This window comes from Homo sapiens, chromosome 10 (assembly GCF_000001405.40).
Source record: "Homo sapiens chromosome 10, GRCh38.p14 Primary Assembly".
Lineage (NCBI taxonomy): Eukaryota > Metazoa > Chordata > Mammalia > Primates > Hominidae > Homo > Homo sapiens.
In genome coordinates this window covers 10,644,423-10,664,077 of record NC_000010.11, presented here as the reverse complement: position 1 = coordinate 10,664,077, position 19,655 = coordinate 10,644,423, and the positions used below count along the sequence as shown (strand labels likewise).

Here is a 19,655-nt window from a genome sequence, read left to right as displayed (position 1 = left end):
TTATAGTTTTTTGACTCTGAGGATGTTAACATGCATCTATCCTCCGTGGTTTATATTCTTAAACTAATTTGTTTTGGGAGTTCAAAGTTCTTGAAGATAAGCTCTAGCAGGCTAAATAAATCTGTTTTCAAAGTCAATTTCTCTTTCAAAATGTCACTTACAACAAAATGGATTTCTTTTGTTGCAATAGGTTAACTACCGGTAGTAAACTGACGATGACATACTGAAGAATCTATTTGGGCTTTAATTACATAACATGTGGCTACTGTTGAGTTAGAAATGTAATAATATTTCTGTTGCATGCTGTGATTCATCTTGGATGGATATTCAGGGCCAGGGATATGAAAGCCTGATATCACTGATAAATAACTATAAACAAAAAGTCAGCCTTAACATGTTTTTCAATGGGTCAGCCAACGGAAGCATTTCTTATCATCTTACCCTGTATTTTCCAGCATCCACAAACAATTTTACTCTCTCTTCTGAGCATTATGTGAGAAATAGTGAACTTTCAGTATTTCTTCCTGTTTTCACCTCGGTTTAGCTACTGACATAAACATTCTTTGAACCTGTTTTCAAATGGATTGAATAGCTTTTATAGCCAAAATCAATGTCATATTAGTTTGAGACTGGTCAAAATTTAAAGAGTTAAGAGTTCTTGAAACTTGTTCTCTATCAGTGTATGAATATCCTGGATTTTTCTTGTGCTTTTATTCTTTGGGGGAAACTAGGGAGGAATTGCAACATATGAGGCAATTCCCCTTGAACGATCCTAAATATTAACTTGTAGCCGCTTGCTTCTGAACAACCACGGAGAAATAACCAGAGATTAATAAATGTTGCTCAATTTCATGGTTGTTCTTGGGCAAGTTCCTCCTCACAATATTTTGAGTGTACACAGCAGCTGCTGCACGCTTAAAATGAAAGGTTTTTCACGTTCACCTCTTAGCCCCTGTAATATTTCAGCTAAGCCTGCCTGAGGACTTCCTCTCTTCCTTTGATGGAAATAATAAAGTATGATGAGTTTGCAATAACAGCTCTCCTTTCCACCACCATCTTATTTCTTAGAAGTGGAACAATAGCTCCTTGTACTGCTGTGAATAAGACCCTTCAGAACAGTGGAGTTCAGACCAAGAAGCTGGAATGGGGCTTTGTTTGTGCCAAGTGCTGTGGGGGTCATGGAAAGACATCTTGACACTGAGTTGCCATGGAAGCATTTGATGTTGTAGTGACACTTCTCTTTTTCGGCAAGTGGTTAATGTGCTCTCCAATTAACACATCAGAAAGCAAAGCTACTATGTCAAAAGATCATCTGGTAGATTCCAAGGCTCTTGCCTATTTCTCCCTCCACCATTGCTGGTTTGTTTGCACTTTTTTTTTTGTCAATTTAGCATTAAAATTTTCCTTAAAGAAAGACATCACTTGCTCCAAAGACCAGGGTCATGGAGAAGGGGGTCACTTTTACTACAAAATGAGACTTCTTAGGCACACAAATTTCCCTTTTGTCACGTGCTTCCTCATCTGCCTACCATGCCTGCAAATCTCTGTATTCGGAAGTGACTGACCTGCCAGGACACAGGGTGAGAAGCCACTACAGGGAATCAGGCCAGTGCTGGAGGATCTCAGCTTGCGTTGTCTCTGTGGTGCAAAGTCACCAGGCAGACGTTCAATGGTGGCAGCTGCTGCTGAGTTTTTAACTCACTGAGAAGTCATGCACATTTTAGTCTTATCTTAAGCCTGGGCAAATATCTAACTGTCTACTGGAGTCACTGGATCTGAGCCCTGAAGGGTGGACCTTTCCACATGAAGTCTGAGTGCATTTCTTTGCATGGATTGTTCTACCTTGGACATATGCAGGTAAATTGTGATATGAAGAGAATTTATGTCTCCTAGTGGCTGAGCTGGTACAGTGGACGTGGTTGGAGGCCGCTCAGACCCTTTTACCAGGCGGGTGCTCCCATGCACCCAGTGCTGTGTGCTGGCTGTTAATGGCTCACAGCTGTTCTCCTCTCCAGGGACTTTCCCTTGACCTCCACCCCCCGCAACTCTCCAGGAGCCTCCTCATCCCAGAGGTACCTGGGAGGCTACTTCTACTTGCAAACCCCATAGCCCTGGAGCAGGGCTGTCCTCAACAAATGATTGACTGATGTTTAGATACAAAGGTCTGTATCTCTTACCTGAGATGAGATGCTCTAGAACTTTCTGTGGGATGAGAATAAGGCTGAAATTCATCTGAAACCACCTCTTTACTTAACTATTCCCTACCTCACTTGCTTCCCTTCCTGCCTAATATGTTCCTGCTGGGGCACTCCCTCAATTCACTCCTTGCATAAGAATTCCTGTCTCAGCCTCTGCTTCAAGGGAAAGTGACCCTAGAAACGTGGTAACTAAATCTACTATGATGATGTTCTAACTTTCACAGTACAGTTATCATCACTTATATATCTATTTAACATTTGAAAAGTTAAAGGAATATACCTCATTTGTTAAAAATGCAGATAGGTGTTTACAACATTTGCCAGCAATTCCACTCCTAGGTATATATCCAAGATAAATGAACTCAAAAGGCCTTGGACATATATCTTCAAAAGGCCTTGGACAAGAATGTTCATAGCACCTTTATTCATACAAGCCAGAGCCTGGAAACCACGCAGATGTGTCTATCAGCAGAAGAATGTAAACATAAACTGTGCTGTGTTTATAAAACCGAATCCAACTCAGCAATAAAGAGCATGAGCTATGAATACACACAACCATAGTTGAATCTCAATGATATCTTGCTGAGAGAGACCAGATGCAAAAAGGAGACACTATATGATTCAATTTAAATGGAAGTCTACCGTAGACGAGTAATCCATGGTGATAAAAATCAAATCAGTGATTACTTTGCAAGAGGATGTGGAAATGGCTGGAAAGGGGCAGGAAGGAGTTTCTGGGACTGGAGAAGTATTCTGTCTTGATTTGCATTCATCAAAACTTATTGAAGAACACATTTAAGATCTGAGCATCTCACTGTATGTAAATTATACCTCAATTTTAAAAAGGCAGATGTAAAAAAAAATCTTTTTCTGAGTTTTGTTTATTTTGATCACACACTTGTGTTGAACAGGGACTATGACTAAGTTATTCAGAGTCCCCGACACAGATGACAGTGATTGGTGGCAATATGTTAGCATCCCTGTGTGTTCGTTCTGTAGAATTTTCCATTTGGGTTCAATTTACTTTAAGTTTACTTTGGATTACAGAAAGGGATAGAGAAAGATTGTTGATTCTCCAGGTTCCTTTAAAAAATGAATGTCATATAGGTCATGCTTTTGGATGACACTTTGCAAAAATGTAAAATGTTCTATCGTTCATTCATTTTTCTTCTATTACACATTTTAGTCTGCTTATGGCATTGCAGGTACTGAATTAGAGGCTAGGGAATATAAAGAAAAAAATAAATGCTGTCTCAGCCTTGAAGAATGAGGTGAAGGAATTGATTGTAGCCATTACAGCAATAAAATACTGGGAGTGCCTAAGAGAAGTACTGTACTAGGCATAGCAGCTGCTGAATGGAGCGGGTGGAGAAATCCATCTGGGGGTGCTAGGAAAAGCTTGCTAAAGTAAGTGGTGGTTGGAATAAACACCCACAGCATCAGTAAGCCACAGAGATGGCATGGGCTTGCTGAAAGGTGAACACTCTAGACTTAGGTAAACCAAAATTAAGACCTTTGCTCCAACACACACTATCACTTGGGCAATTTTCTTATCCTTTTTGAGCCTCCACTTTACTATTTTTAATCTGGGATAAAACTTACCTTGCAATGTTGCTATGACATCATACATAGCTATTGTTGTTATTATTATATCTGTGAAAGGTGACATATTTAAGTCATGATCATCCGTGAACAGTTTATCAATTAGCAACCCAATTTAACAGCAAGAAAAGGTTCCTGATGAAATTCTTTTGGGGGAATCAAAGGTAAGTTCCATTTTATTGCCATTTCCTGCTTCTAGAGGAGGCCTGGTTTCCTTGGCTCATGGCCCCTTTCTCTATCTTCAAAGCCAGCAGCATATTCAGCTCTCTCTGAACTTCTATTGTCACATCTCCTACTTACTCTCTGCTTTTGTCGTCACGCCACCTCTCTCTCTCTGACCCTTGTGCCTCTCTCAACAACCCTGTGATCACCTTGAGGGCATCTGGATAATCCCAGAAAATCTCCCCATCTCCAGATCCTTAATCAACCCTGCTAAGTCTCTTTGAAGCCATTCTGGTGGATCTGAGTAGCTGAAGGGTACAGTTGTTGAATGAAGGAGAGGCCAGGTAGGGCTGGGGAAATGCCTTGCCTGTCACTGAGGGAGCTGGAACCGAAGGCACTAAATAGTCCTCATGCTGACAACCTGAGATCTGTGTGTCTGGAAGTCAATTCTGTTTAGGGTATGCAGGGTGGTTTGAAGGGTCTGGGAACTGGAGGTGAGGCCAGAACCTTGGATGCCATTGCAATAGGACAGGTAAGGTATGAACTAGAAAATTCACCAATGCCCAAGATGGATTCCTTCCTCACTCCCCATAATAAGAGGAGCGATTTGAAGCAAGAAGATGAGGAGGGGAGGGAGAAGCATGACATTCTTGCTTTCGAGAGTTTTGACAGAATAGGTAATTGCTAAAGGAAAATAACCTACATGACACTCATTGGCAATTACTCACTTTGAAATTCCTTTAAATATTGCAATACTGAGGGCATTTTAGACTTGATAACATAAATATTTTATTAAAGAGCAAACAATTCACTGACTAATCTTACTGGAAGAAGATTCTCTCATTATGGAAACAGTGACAAATTATTTGTACATGGGGCACATCTCTTTAATATGCTCCTGTTTCTTTATGAAATTGAGGGATTAGTCGGATCAAGAAAAACGAAGGAGCAAAAACCACTATTATCAGGCTCTTGAGGTAGCTAGTATTAAATAAAGCAATTTGAACAGCATTTCTACAACAAGGGTCTAGGTAGCTTCTGTTTGATTTTTCCAATAATCAGAGGTCAAACAATTGTGAAGCATTTTTCTGGTGAACATTTATTATTTTAACCACCCCAGTTATGCAGATCTGTTTATGAGTTCAACTCTGGGTAAGTGGTTACAAATGCCCTTCAAACCAAAGAGAAAGCTCTTTCATTGCACTTGTAGTTTCTGTAATTCTAAAAAAAGACCTAGATATTCTCTCTGTGTTATCCAGGCAAGATGTCCACGGTCTAAAAACATAAATTCCAGATAAAAACCACCAAGACTGTAATGATCAAATTCTATCAGGCCAGTTAAAATGTTGAATACTTGACCCAAAAAGGAAGAGACAAGAGCTACATAGAATAGACTCACAAATTCAGTTTAACAAGATAGAATGTATTTTATTAGGTTTGACTTCCTGAAGATGCCTTTCTGTATGCCAGAAAATTAGGAAAAAAGTGCAGAAAAACAGGCTTAAAATACTTTGATGATAAAACACATTTATAAAAGTTAGCAAATTGGCCAAGATTTTGGTTTCCTAGAAGAGGGATGCAGGAGGTTGTTTATAAATTCTGCAGATCTGGTCTTAGATCCAGCATGTATAGATTTATGTTGACTTATCTTAATGTAGACAAAGCATACTCATTACATTGCTTAATGGATGATAGTACCCATAAAAATGTCAATATTATCTTTGGATTTCAGATATGAAATGTAAGGTAATCTACAAAAGTGGAAATGTGGTTAGAACAGAAATGATGAAGTGATTGCACAACAGTTTAAGACAGAACAAATATTTCAACACTCTCAAGGCCATAAAGAGCAGGGGATTGGGACAAATAAATGGGCAAGAAGGGACCACAATGATCCTAGTGGTCCACAAGCTAACCATGTATTAGGGTTTTTTTTGAGACTCAATATTTGGATTTTAGAAAAGACTGCATCAGACAGGAATTTTTAAGTAACCATTCTCAACAGGGGAATAGTGACAATAGCTTCAAGCTTTGACGTTTTATGGGCCAAGTGTGGAATTATGTTTGCTACTTTCCTCTCTGTTTCATAGTGGCATGTTAAGTTTGCAACCAAAAATCACAGGAGCTGTAACTTTTCTTTCATTTTACAACTCAGCGTAAACCTGAATAAAAGTAAAAGTTAATAACAGGGCAAAGCAAGCCTTAATAAAATTCAACAGATCCTTCTGGATACATGTACTTCTTGGTGATTATTATTTGCTTATGAAATAGCTCAACATATTAAAAAGACATAAAGCATATTATAATGAACATCTTGTATCCCCAACTGAACTTAAGAAACAAAATATCATGAATACAATGGAAAACCTTGTGGGATGCTCCTGGAATATATTCTCCTTCCCAAATCCTTGGGCCCCTCCTTAATAACATATGTATGTAGATCCTTAAGGCATGTGTAGTATTGTTTGGTATATACTTAAACTTTATATAATTGGATTCATATTACATGCATTCTTTTTTTCTTATTCAACATTGTGTTGTGGGAATTAGTCACGTTGCTAACTTTGCCTCTACTTCATTTTTTTATTTCGTAACTTAAAAAGAAAACAGCTTTATTGAGTTACAATTCACGTACCATATAACTCACGCATTTAAAGTACTGGGCTGGTGCAAAAGCAATTATGGTTTTTGCCATTACTTTTAATGGCAAATATATGTATATACTTTTAAATATATATACTTTTAGTGTATGCTTAAGGTTACGCAACCATCACCACAGTCTAATTTTAGAACATCTTCATTACTCCCAAAAAGAAAACAAGCACCCAGCAACAATTACTCTCACTGTCCCTTTTCTCCAGCAAATCATAAGCTACCAGTCACTCATCTACTTTTTTTTCTGTGTCATATGTGTAATGCGAACATTTCAAATAAATGGACATATGCATTATTTGGCCTTTTGTGTCTGACTTCTTCTTTAACTTAACCAAATTTTTTCAGGGTTCAACCATGCTGTAGCCTCTATCAATCTGCTGAATAATATTCTGCCATATGAATATACAACATTTAATTTATCCATTCATCCATTGATGAATATTTGAATGGTTTCCACTTGTTGGCCATTATGAACAATGCTGCTATTAACATTAATGTGTAAGTTTTTTTGTGTGGACACGTTTTCTTTTTTTTTTTTTTTTATTGATTCTACCATGTGCAAGTTATTTTTTTATTTTTTATTTTTTTAATTATACTTTAAGTTTTAGGGTACATGTGCACATTCTGCAGGTTAGTTACATATGTATACATGTGCCATGCTGGTGCGCTGCACCCACTAACTCGTCATCTAGCATTAGGTATATCTCCCAATGCTATCCCTCCCCCCTCCCCCGACCCCACCACAGTCCCCAGAGTGTGATATTCCCCTTCCTGTGTCCATGTGATCTCATTGTTCAATTCCCACCTATGAGTGAGAATATGCGCTGTTTGGTTTTTTGTTCTTGCGATAGTTTACTGAGAATGATGATTTCCAATTTCATCCATGTCCCCACAAAGGACATGAACTCATCATTTTTTATGGCTGCATAGTATTCCATGGTGTATATGTGCCACATTTTCTTAATCCAGTCTATCATTCTTGGACATTTGGGTTGGTTCCAAGTCTTTGCTATTGTGAATAATGCCGCAATAAACATACATGTGCATGTGTCTTTATAGCAGCATGATTTATAGTCCTTTGGGTATATACCCAGTAATGGGATGGCTGGGTCAAATGGTATTTCTAGTTCTAGATCCCTGAGGAATCGCCACACTGACTTCCACAATGGTTGAACTAGTTTACAGTCCCACCAACAGGGTAAAAGTGCTCCCATTTCTCCACATCCTCTCCAGCACCTGTTGTTTCCTGACTTTTTAATGATTGTCATTCTAACTGGTGTGAGATGGTATCTCATTGTGGTTTTGATTTGCATTTCTCTGATGGCCAGTGATGATGAGCATTTTTTCATGTGTTTTTTGGCTGCATAAATGTCTTCTTTTGAGAAGTGTCTGTTCATGTCCTTCGCCCACTTTTTGATGGGGTTGTTTTTTTTTCTTGTAAATTTGTTTGAGTTCATTGTAGATTCTGGATATTAGCCCTTTGTCAGATGAGTAGGTTGCGAAAATTTTCTCCCATTTTGTAGGTTGCCTGTTCACTCTCATGGTAGTTTCTTTTGCTGTGCAGAAGCTCTTTAGTTTAATGAGATCCCATTTGTCAATTTTGTCTTTTGTTGCCATTGCTTTTGGTGTTTTGGACATGAAGTCCTTGCCTGTGCCTATGTCCTGAATGGTAATGCCTAGGTTTTCTTCTAGGGTTTTTATGGTTTTAGGTCTAACGTTTAAGTCTTTAATCCATCTTGAATTGATTTTTGTATAAGGTGTAAGGAAGGGATCCAGTTTCAGCTTTCTACATATGGCTAGCCAGTTTTCCCAGCACCATTTATTAAATAGGGAATCATTTCCCCATTGCTCGTTTTTCTCAGGTTTGTCAAAGATCAATTAGTTGTAGATATGCGGCGTTATTTCTGAGGGCTCTGTTCTGTTCCATTGATCTATATCTCTGTTTTGGTACCAGTACCATGCTGTTTTGGTTACTATAGCCTTGTAGTATAGTTTGAAGTCAGGTAGTGTGATGCCTCCAGCTTTGTTCTTTTGGCTTAGGATTGACTTGGCGATGCGGGATCTTTTTTGGTTCCATATGAACTTTAAAGTAGTTTTTTCCAATTCTGTGAAGAAAGTCATTGGTAGCTTGATGGGGATGGCATTGAATCTGTAAATTACCTTGGGCAGTATGGCCATTTTCACGATATTGATTCTTCCTACCCCCATGAGCATGGAATGTTCTTCCATTTGTTTGTATCCTCTTTTATTTCATTGAGCAGTGGTTTGTAGTTCTCCTTGAAGAGGTCCTTCACATCCCTTGTAAGTTGGATTCCTAAGTATTTTATTCTCTTTGAAGCAATTGTGAATGGGAGTTCACTCATGATTTGGCTCTCTATTTGTCTGTTGTTGGTGTATAAGAATGCTTGTGATTTTTGTACATTGATTTTGTATCCTGAGACTTTGCTGAAGTTGCTTATCAGCTTAAGGAGATTTTGGGCTGAGACAATGGGGTTTTCTAGATATACAATCATGTCGTCTGCAAACAGGGACAATTTGACTTCCTCTTTTCCTAATTGAATACCCTTTATTTCCTTCTCCTGCCCGATTTCCCTGGCCAGAACTTCCAACACTATGTTGAATAGGAGTGGTGAGAGAGGGCATCCCTGTCCTGTGCCAGTTTTCAAAGGGAATGCTTCCAGTTTTTGCCCATTCAGTATGATATTGGCTGTGGGTTTGTCATAGATAGCTCTTATTATTTTGAAATACGTCCCATCAATACCTAATTTATTGAGAGTTTTTAGCATGAAGGGTTGTTGAATTTTGTCAAAGGCTTTTTCTGCATCTATTGAGATAATCATGTGGTTTTTGTCTTTGGCTCTGTTTATATGCTGGATTACATTTATTGATTTGCGTATATTGAACCAGCCTTGCATCCCAGGGATGAAGCCCACTTGATCATGGTGGATAAGCTTTTTGATGTGCTGCTGGATTCGTTTTGCCAGTATTTTATTGAGGATTTTTGCATCAGTGTTCATCAAGGATATTGGTCTAAAATTCTCTTTTTTGGTTGTGTGTCTGCCAGGCTTTGGTATCAGAATGATGCTGGCCTCATAAAATGAGTTAGGGAGGATTCCCTCTTTTTCTATTGATTGGAATAGTTTCAGAAGGAATGGTACCAGTTCCTCCTTGTACCTCTGGTAGAATTCAGCTGTGAATCCATCTGGTCCCGGACTCTTTTTGGTTGGTAAACTATTGATTATTGCCACAATTTCAGCTCCTGTTATTGGTCTATTCAGAGATTCAACTTCTTCCTGGTTTAGTCTTGGGAGAGTGTATGTGTCAAGGAATGTATCCATTTCTTCTAGATTTTCTAGTTTATTTGCGTAGAGGTGTTTGTAGTATTCTCTGATGGTAGTTTGTATTTCTGTGGGATCAGTGGTGATATCCCCTTTATCATTTTTTATTGTGTGTATTTGATTCTTCTCTCTTTTTTTCTTTATTAGTCTTGCTAGCGGTCTATCAATTTTGTTGATCCTTTCAAAAAACCAGCTCCTGGATTCATTGATGTTTTGAAGGGTTTTTTGTGTCTCTATTTCCTTCAATTCTGCTCTGATTTTAGTTATTTCTTGCCTTCTGCTAGCTTTTGAATGTGTTTGCTCTTGCTTTTCCAGTTCTTTTAATTGTGATGTTAGGGTGTCAATTTTGGATCTTTCCTGCTTTCTCTTGTGGGCCTTTAGTGCTATAAATTTCCCTCTACACACTGCTTTGAATGCATCCCAGAGATTCTGGTATGTTGTGTCTTTGTTCTCGTTGGTTTCAAAGAACATCTTTATTTCTGCCTTCATTTCGTTATGTACCCAGTAGTCATTCAGGAGCAGGTTGTTCAGTTTCCATGTAGTTGAGCGGTTTTGAGTGAGATTCTTAATCCTGAGTTCTAGTTTGATTGCACTGTGGTCTGAGAGATAGTTTGTTATAATTTCTGTTCTTTTACATTTGCTGAGGAGAGCTTTACTTCCAAGTATGTGGTCAATTTTGGAATAGGTGTGGTGTGGTGCTGAAAAAATTGTATATTCTGTTGATTTGGGGTGGAGAGTTCTGTAAATGTCTATTAGGTCCACTTGGTGCAGAGCTGAGTTCAATTCCTGGGTATCCTTGTTGACTTTCTGTCTCGTTGATCTGTCTAATGTTGACAGTGGGGTGTTAAAGTCTCCCATTATGAATGTGTGGGAGTCTAAGTCTCTTTGTAGGTCACTCAGGACTTGCTTTATGAATCTTGGTTCCCCTGTATTGGGTGCATATATATTTAGGAGAGTTAGCTCTTCTTGTTGAATTGATCCCTTTACCATTATGTAGTGGCCTTCTTTGTCTCTTTTGATGTTTGTTGGTTTAAAGTCTGCTTTATCAGAAATGAGGATTGCAACCCCTGCCTTTTTTTGTTTTCCATTTGCTTGGTAGATCTTCCTCCATCCTTTTATTTTGAGCCTATGTGTGTCTCTGCACATGAGATGGGTTTCCTGAGTACAGCACACTGATGGGTCTTGACTCTTTATCCAATTTGCCAGTCTGTGTCTTTTAATTGGAGAATTTAATCCATTTAAAGTTAATATTGTTATGTGTGAATTTGATCCTGTCATTATGATGTTAGCTGGTGATTTTGCTCTTTAGTTGATGCAGTTTCTTCCTAGTCTCGATGGTCTTTACATTTTGGCATGATTTTGCAGCGGCTGGTACCGATTGTTCCTTTCCATGTTTAGCACTTCCTTCAGGAGCTCTTTTAGGGCAGGCCTGGTGGTGACAAAATCTCTCAGCATTTGCTTGTCTGTGAAGTATTTTATTTCTCCTTCGCTTATGAAGCTTAGTTTGGCTGGATATGAAATTCTGGGTTGAAAATTCTTTTCTTTAAGAATGTTGAATATTGGCCCCCACTCTCTTCTGGCTTGTAGGGTTTCTGCCGAGAGATCCGCTGTTAGTCTGATGGGCTTCCCTTTGAGGGTAACCCGACCTTTCTCTCTGGCTGCCCTTAACATTTTTTCCTTCATTTCAACTTTGGTGAATCTGACAATTATGTGTCTTGGAGTTGCTCTTCTCGAGGAGTATCTTTGTGGCGTTGTCTGTATTTCCTGAATCTGAACGTTGGCCTGCCTTGCTAGATTGGGGAAGTTCTCCTGGATAATATCCTGCAGAGTGTTTTCCAACTTGGTTCCATTCTCCCCGTCACTTTCAGGTACACCAATCAGATGTAGATTTGGTCTTTTCACATAGTCCCATATTTCTTGGAGGCTTTGCTCATTTCTTTTTATTCTTTTTTCTCTAAACTTCCCTTCTCACTTCATTTCATTCATTTCATCTTCCATCGCTGATACCCTTTCTTCCAGTTGATCGCATCGGCTCCTGAGGCTTCTGCATTCTTCACGTAGTTCTCGAGCCTTAGTTTTCAGCTCCATCAGCTCCTTTAAGCACTTCTCTGTATTGGTTATTCTAGTTATACATTCTCCTAAATTTTTTTCAAAGTTTTCAACTTCTTTGCCTTTGGTTTGAATGTCCTCCCGTAGCTCAGAGTAATTTGATCATCTGAAGCCTTCTTCTCTCAGCTCGTCAAAGTCATTCTCCATCCAGCTTTGTTCCGTTGCTGGTGAGGAACTGCGTTCCTTTGGAGGAGGAGAGGCGCTCTGCTTTTTAGAGTTTCCAGTTTTTCTGTGCTTTTTTTTTCCCCATCTTTGTGGTTTTATCTACTTTTGGTCTTTGATGATGGTGATGTACAGATGGGTTTTCGGTGTAGATGTCTTTTCTGTTTGTTAGTTTTCCTTCTAACAGACAGGACCCTCAGCTGCAGGTCTGTTGGAATACCCTGCCGTGTGAGGTGTCAGTGTGCCCCTGCTGGGGGGTGCCTCCCAGTTAGGCTGCTCGGGGGTCAGGGGTCAGGGACCCACTTGAGGAGGCAGTCTGCTGGTTCTCAGATCTCCAGCTGCGTGCTGGGAGAACCACTGTTCTCTTCAAAGCTGTCAGACAGGGACATTTAAGTCTGCAGAGGTTACTGCTGTCTTTTTGTTTGTCTGTGCCCTGCCCCCAGAGGTGGAGCCTACAGAGGCAGGCAGGCCTCCTTGAGCTGTGGTGGGTTCCACCCAGTTCGAGCTTCCCCGCTGCTTTGTTTACCTAAGCAAGCCTGGGCAATGGCGGGCACCCCTCCCCCAGCCTCACTGCCGCCTTGCAGTTTGATCTCATACTGCTGTGCTAGCAATCAGCGAGATTCTGTGGGCATAGGACCCTCCGAGCCAGATGTGGGATATAATCTCGTGGTGCGCCGTTTTTTAAGCAGGTCTGAAAAGCGCAAAATTCGGGTGGGAGTGACCCGATTTTCCAGGTGCATCCGTCACCCCTTTCTTTGACTTGGAAAGGGAACTCCCTGACCCCTTGCGCTTCCCAAGTGAGGCAATGCCTCGCCCTGCTTCGGCTCGCGCACGGTGCGCGCACCCACTGGCCTGCGCCCACTGTCTGGCACTCCCTAGTGAGATGAACCCGGTACCTCAGATGGAAATGCAGAAATCACCGGTCTTCTGCGTCGCTCACGCTGGGAGCTGTAGACCGGAGCTGTTCCTATTCGGCCATCTTGGCTCCTCCCCCCTCCACGTTTTCATTTCTTTTAGGTACATACCTAGGAGTGGAATCGCTGGGTCAGATGGTGACTCTGTGTTAAATATTTTGAGGAACGCTAAAACTTTTTCCAAAGTGGTTGCATCATTTTACTATTTTTAGTAAGCAATGTATGACAGTTCTATCTTCCCCACATTCTTGCACACATTTCTTATTTTCTGTCTTTTTCATGATAGCCATCCTAGAGAGTATGAAGTTGTATCTCATTGCAGTGCTATTTTATCTTGTCATGCTGTGTACTATTTCATTTTGTGAAAAATTCATTCTCTTGTTAATAAATGCTTAGGCTGTTTCAATTTTTTGCTCTTATAATTCAAGATGTGTACTTTTACATAGGTCTCTCTAAAATGTAGAATTAGAATTGGAATTTCTGGGTTACAGAGTATGCATATCTTTAATTTTATGAAAAATTATGGAAAATATTTTTTAACTTAACATTTTAAGTCAAATGGGAAGATATACTACTTTGGAAGCAAGATGAAGAGCAAAAGTTTAAATGTGCTTAATGAAAATAACTTTGATTCTTTTATTAAGATGTCTTACACTTTGCATGCCATTTCTACCCAAGTCAATGCTCATGATAATTTCAATGGGGGCCTTTTTGTTCTGCTTTATTTGTTTTATTTTTCTTTTTAATTTCCCTCGATTGTCTCAAATGAGGCTGTAATGAAATACTACGAAGGGACAGGTCGAACTTTGCACTGTCCTCTATCATTCCCTGGATGTGAGACCAGCATCTGCGGAGCATCAAATAGTCTGAACGTTTCCTGATGGTTGCAATGTGATTGGCATTCCTGGAGCAAAGTCCTAGTCCATCCACACAGAATGAGCAGATTACGGCGGGTGGATATCCTGGCTGTGTTGTCTCGGGCATCGATCTAAATGGCCACTTAAATCATCCCGCTGCAGAGATCGATGTGAAGGTGGCAGAAGTGAGCAGAGGAACAGCTGCACTCCAGGGGAATCCGAATGTAGCCTCTCAGGCATCACTCTGTCCTCGAAAGCAAGTGGGCACAATCGGACATTTTCAGTTTACCTACACTACACGCGGGTCCTTCTGCAGTGTTGGGATGTCTGTCTCCAGAAACCAGTATTTTGGGAACTCCAGAGATATCTGGGGTCCTGGGAATTCACTTGCCTCTTCTAGATGCATGAGGGAATCATTGAATCACTCCAGATCCAACTTAAAATCTACTGGTTTTTGCAAGTCTATTATGACTCAGAGGTAATGTCAGTGAATTTAAGCTGTTGTCTAAGATAAGCTGTGTTGTCTGTGGTACCACATCCCTTTCTATGAGATGTATCCCTAAGATATATCTGTATGTAAAACATATAACACGAGTTTTGGGAATGATCCAACCCATTTTTTCCCCCCAGAGGAAACAGTTGGCAATATTAACTTGAGTACTGTAATACTGATCTGAGTATGGTAATGTTGACCTGAGTTTGGTAATATTGACCTGAGTATATACAAAAGAGAAAACCCAGCCCGCTATCTAATTACAATTTCTGACCTCTGCAACAGAATAAAGGACCTATGTTTTTACCCTGAGATGCTCAAGGCAAATGCATTCAGAAAATGTTGTTGCCTTTTGTTTATGAGATCATTTAGATAACAAAAGCCATACCATTTTTGGCTATGAAGAGTATGTAAATGTGTGCTGGGTTATCTATGAGAATCGCGACTTTCACCAGCATGAAAAAATGAGAGGATAATGGTTTCTTTAGACCAGTGCCCGTTTCAAAAGGGGATAGATGGGAAATCAGTTTTCTTCTAGCAGCTGAAAATCCAGGACTGAAATCTTCAGCCTTGCAAAGTTACAATATACCATAAGGAAAGGTGAGCAACACATAACATTTCAATGCAGTGGCTCTCAGGAGGGGAGAAGATGGGTAATAGCCGACAGCATCATCTGTAAGCGGTGCGCCCCTCCTCATCATTTCACTTATTGAACCCAATGGAATGCAGCTATAGTAATATTTTTGAGAAGATCAAATTTCCAATAAGCTTGCTCTAATATTTTGGGATAATCATGACATTTAAGGATGTCTTCCTTCGGGCTGCTGGGTACCACGGTCAATCATCTTGGATATTAAGAAACAAAATTACCAAACCGTAAAATATTCTTCAACAAGCTGTAAGAGAAAATCAAAATATACACCTGACCCATTTAAGCTACAGACCATTGCTTCCAGAACACGATCTATCATGACATAGAGCCGAGAGGAAAGGCTATAGACTTGCATGGTTCAGTGTGATGCCATGTAATAGTTGTTGCTGTTATTCTTTCGCTTTGGCTGATGGGGAAATTGTACTTTCTTTTACCTACTGCAACCCTTCCTGTCCACTTTTAGGAAACTAGTGAGCGATAAGTATGCATGAAAGAGCATTTTTGATACCAGACGCTGAGCTGAGTTTGGCATATGGACTGGGATGTATCAAAGGTGATCTCTTACTTCAAGGACTTTATAGCCTAGTAAAGGCAGACAGACATGATGAAAGGAAGTGCTTCAGGGAGCTACATTAATGACTATCCAGGGATACTGGTACGGGTTCCCTGGGATTTTTAGGATGGATGCTGGATGTTGATATAGAAGAGACCACATCCAAGAGCTGAGTCCTGGGCTTCAGGTAAATGACGTCAACATGGGGATGAGGTGCTACTGTGCCTGGGCAGTGGGTTTTTGCTTTACATTGCTGCAAGGTGGTGGGCAGTGGATAAAATCGTATACTTTCATATATCCTGAGGATAGCACAACTGGAAATTTCTTGAAGGGTAAGTAAATTTGTACATGAAGTTTGGAGTTAAAAACATCTGTAGTTGAATCCTAACTCTATCACTAATTCAGGGTCTGAAGGAAGTGGATCAAAATGCAGGTGCTTTTCTCTCCCGTAACAATGGATTGGTCCTAAGCAGCTCACCTCTTTCACAGAGCAGTGCCCAGGATTCAGTTAAATGGCAAACTAGTGTTTTCTAAACTGCGATGACAGGCCCATGGAATCTTTTTGGAATAGCAGGTTTATTTAGTGGTAAGCCCATTAAAACATTTTAAAACTGTAAATGATGATGTTTATCATGGAAGATAAAAATACACACAAAGTTTTAAAAGAAAGCAAGCCTTGAAATATTTTTTCTTGCCTGATTTTGGGGACTATTTCTCCAAGGCCCGGGGATATGCTCCATCACGTCACAGAGGAAAAGTGAGAAAAGTGCTGTCCACGGAGGCACCATGTAAAATGCAGAGCGCTGTCCAAATGGTGCTGTTAATGATCTGTCGTCATCATTTATTGATGAGTAATCTAAGTCCTTATTAAGCAAGAGCTGCCCTTTGGCTGTGGAACAATGGCTCTGGAATTTGGTGACTATATGTTATCCGCATTGATGTTTGCATTTGCAAATTGTCTTTCATTTATCAGAAAGACCTGGGAGAGTTGAGATCAAATCTAAAACGGCTTTTATGTAAAGGCAGGGAGGGTGTCCATACCCACATGTGGAGCGGGCGGGCAGTGGGTTCAAAGGACAGGAAATCGCAAGGAGCAGAAAGTTTTCTTACAGCAGGTGATGCTTCAGCAAAGTCCTGAAGCAGGTGTAGGGTTGAGACTGGAGGAGGAATGGGGAAACAGGAGTTTGACACAAAGGGAGTTAAGGAAACGGGAACCAGGAGGATAGGGGCAAGGGCTAGGCTGTGAGTTATGTAAGGCAGAGCAGTTAACTTAGACCCTGCTTATCATGCTCAGAAATCAGAATTAAGTCCAAGGAAAGGAGGAGTATGTGACCCTATTTATAATGTCACAGAGATATTAGATGGCAGGAAATGCAATGTATCCTTCAGTTCATCATCCCTCATGCCAACGAGTAGGCTAGCAGGGGAGTGGCATGACCAGGCTGTGTGAGGTCCAACACTCATCAAAGGGCAGGGAGAGATCATTAGCGTGGGGCAAACTGTTTCACCCTTCTGGGCTTCATTTCTTCACTCTCTTAGCACAAAATTGTGCAGCTAAGTTAATGCCAAGCGAAGCTGAAGTATTAGAGAAAGGCTCTTGGCAAATAAAATGCCATGCAAGTTCCACAGAATGATGTGGCACCTCAGTGGCACCTGCTCTTCGTCAGAACATCCTGGGTCAGTATTTCATCACAGCTTGTCATAAATATTCCATGAAACAAAACTCAGGAAGTAATACTAGATTTGGATAAATATTCCAGCCTTGGAAGTCTTTGCAGTCATTTTCAAAACATGTAATCCATTTCTTAATTATGCATGGAGGTGGATGTGACTGCCATCATATTTAACACTACCAAGTGTTGTAGCAATGGAACAGAATGAGACTTGGTTAAGCAGTGAGGGGGCAAAGTAAGGGGCTGAGAAACGACGTGCAAAAAACCAAGTGAAGCTTGATGGATGTGACAAATGATGAACCAATGTTTAACGAGAGATTTGTGGATGAGCATCAATTAGCCGTGGCTTTCGTTGAAATGGATTTGTTGATTTCCATTTGTCCCAGGCACATACTCTGTCTTTGTTCATGGATGTTTACTGATTGGTCCTTAGGGAAATTGTGAAGTAGGTGAACTTTGGTTTTGACGGTTTTCTACCTTCCTTTCTGTCCCCATTCCAGACTCTACTCTTTGTAGCTTTTTATCTGTAGGTGCTCAGAGCACTTAGATGATCTCAGATGCCCTGTCTCATAGGGAAAAAACAGACCAACACATGCCTAGTAACTGCCTAATATCTGCCCATATTAGATCTTATCTGAAAACCTCAATGGAGAATGAGACGTCAAGTTCTCCAGTGTCCTAGCCCAAAAGATTAGGATTAGTGCATCTGGAAAGGTTAATACTCTTCATCACTTCAGAGTAAACTGAAGCCACAGGAAGTTAGCATCCTGATGTCAGTCTCAGCCAGCCAGACACAAAACCAGAACGAGTTACCCTATGTCATGCTTTCATGGAATCACAAAATAGAGTTGCTTCTATACATGGAAGAGGGTTTTAGACAGGAATATCTTCTTTGCCTTCAATCATTTGTCAATCTCAGAAGAAACTTATTGAGTACCTGTTCCCCACCAGGCACTTTGTAGGCACAGGAGATGTACAGTGAACAGGACACTCTCCCTGCACTCTGGAAGCTTATCATCTAACCATTAATCAAGCAAATTTATTTTTTATTTTTTTGAGACAAAGTCTTGCTCTGGCACCTAGGCTGAAGTGCGGTGGTGCAATGATGGCTCCCTGCAGCCTTGAACTTCTGGGCTCAAGTGATTTTCCTGCCTCAGCCTCCTGAGTAGCTGGGACTACATGGGCGTGCTACCATGCCTGCCTAATTTTTCTATTTTTTGGTAGAGACTAGGTCTTACTATGTTGCCAAGGCTGGTCGCAAACTCCTAGGCTCAGGTGATCTTCCCAGCTCAGCCTCGCAAAGTGCTGGGATTATAGGCATGAACCACCGCACCCAGGCACAAATTCTTAATCACAATTGCGACAAAGGTTTAAAAGTAAATCATGAGCAGTGGCTGTCTTCTAAGGCTGGCCTATGTGAGTAGGGTGGAGTACAGAATTGCCAACAATCCAGCCAGCCCCTGAAAGTGAATGGTGCTTCTCCCTGAAACATGTATTCAACAAGGGGGGATTCCACAGAACTCAACAAGGGGGGATTCAATCTTGCCAACCAACAGCATCTCATCCCCCCTGAATAAGCAAGCTACATGGCACCCTACTGTCCTGAAAGCATCCATGTTCTTTCAAAAGAGGCCAGTATCCCCAGGAGATCATTCAGAACCCTGGCAGGATATTTTCGTTTTTGGTTTGTTTTCACAGCTGCTGGGAGAGAGGCGCTTTCTCTCAGTGTATCAGCTAAATTTTCCACACAGTGCCTTGACGTACAGTTGTCCCACTTCATCCGCCTGTCACTGAGATTTTCAATATGATGTGAAAAAGTTGAACCCCATCTGACATTTTCTAAGTCACTGCTGATTTGCTGACATTCTCCCAGTTGTCTGGGTGGCAACTGTGAACTGCTCCAAAGTGCATTTGCCAGAAGAGCCCGCTGTGTGCAAGGAAGCCCAGGACGTGGGGGGAGATACTTTAGACACTAGTGGGGCTAAAATAGGGCCTTTGTTTCATTTTTCTAGCAAACCACGTCAGAAAAGAGATCCATGGACATCCCTTGCTACACAGATGGCTGGCAGCTTCCTATACCTCGCCCAGGCTGATCCTGCCTCAGACAAAATCATGGAAGCAGATGAAGATGAGTCTATCAGCTGCTTTTGTGCCAGAGGATACTGAGTCACAGGGTTTGGTTCAGTGTGACGTGCCTGCTGGGCTCAACTGCGGTGAAAACCAGACCTGTAAGAATCAAGCTGACACTACTCTGTCTCCAGGAAGAAGCTCTGAAGTGCAAACACAC

The 19,655-nt window shown here is 40.8% G+C and overlaps 1 protein-coding gene across 9 annotated transcripts in view, besides 1 other annotated feature; it reads right to left on the bottom strand.

Annotated features, from left to right (window-relative positions):
- Positions 1–19,655, bottom strand: part of CELF2 (CUGBP Elav-like family member 2) — an 874,126-nt gene that overhangs the window by 672,598 nt on the left and 181,873 nt on the right. The window lies entirely within an intron of this gene.
- Positions 12,359–12,976: an enhancer, noted in NCBI's record as "H3K27ac-H3K4me1 hESC enhancer chr10:10693065-10693682 (GRCh37/hg19 assembly coordinates)". NCBI's record gives its function as "activates a minimal SCP1, AML or CMV promoter by ChIP-STARR-seq in naive and primed H9 embryonic stem cells {active_cell/tissue: H9 hESC(naive and primed)}" and the evidence as "EXISTENCE:reporter gene assay evidence [ECO:0000049][PMID:30033119]".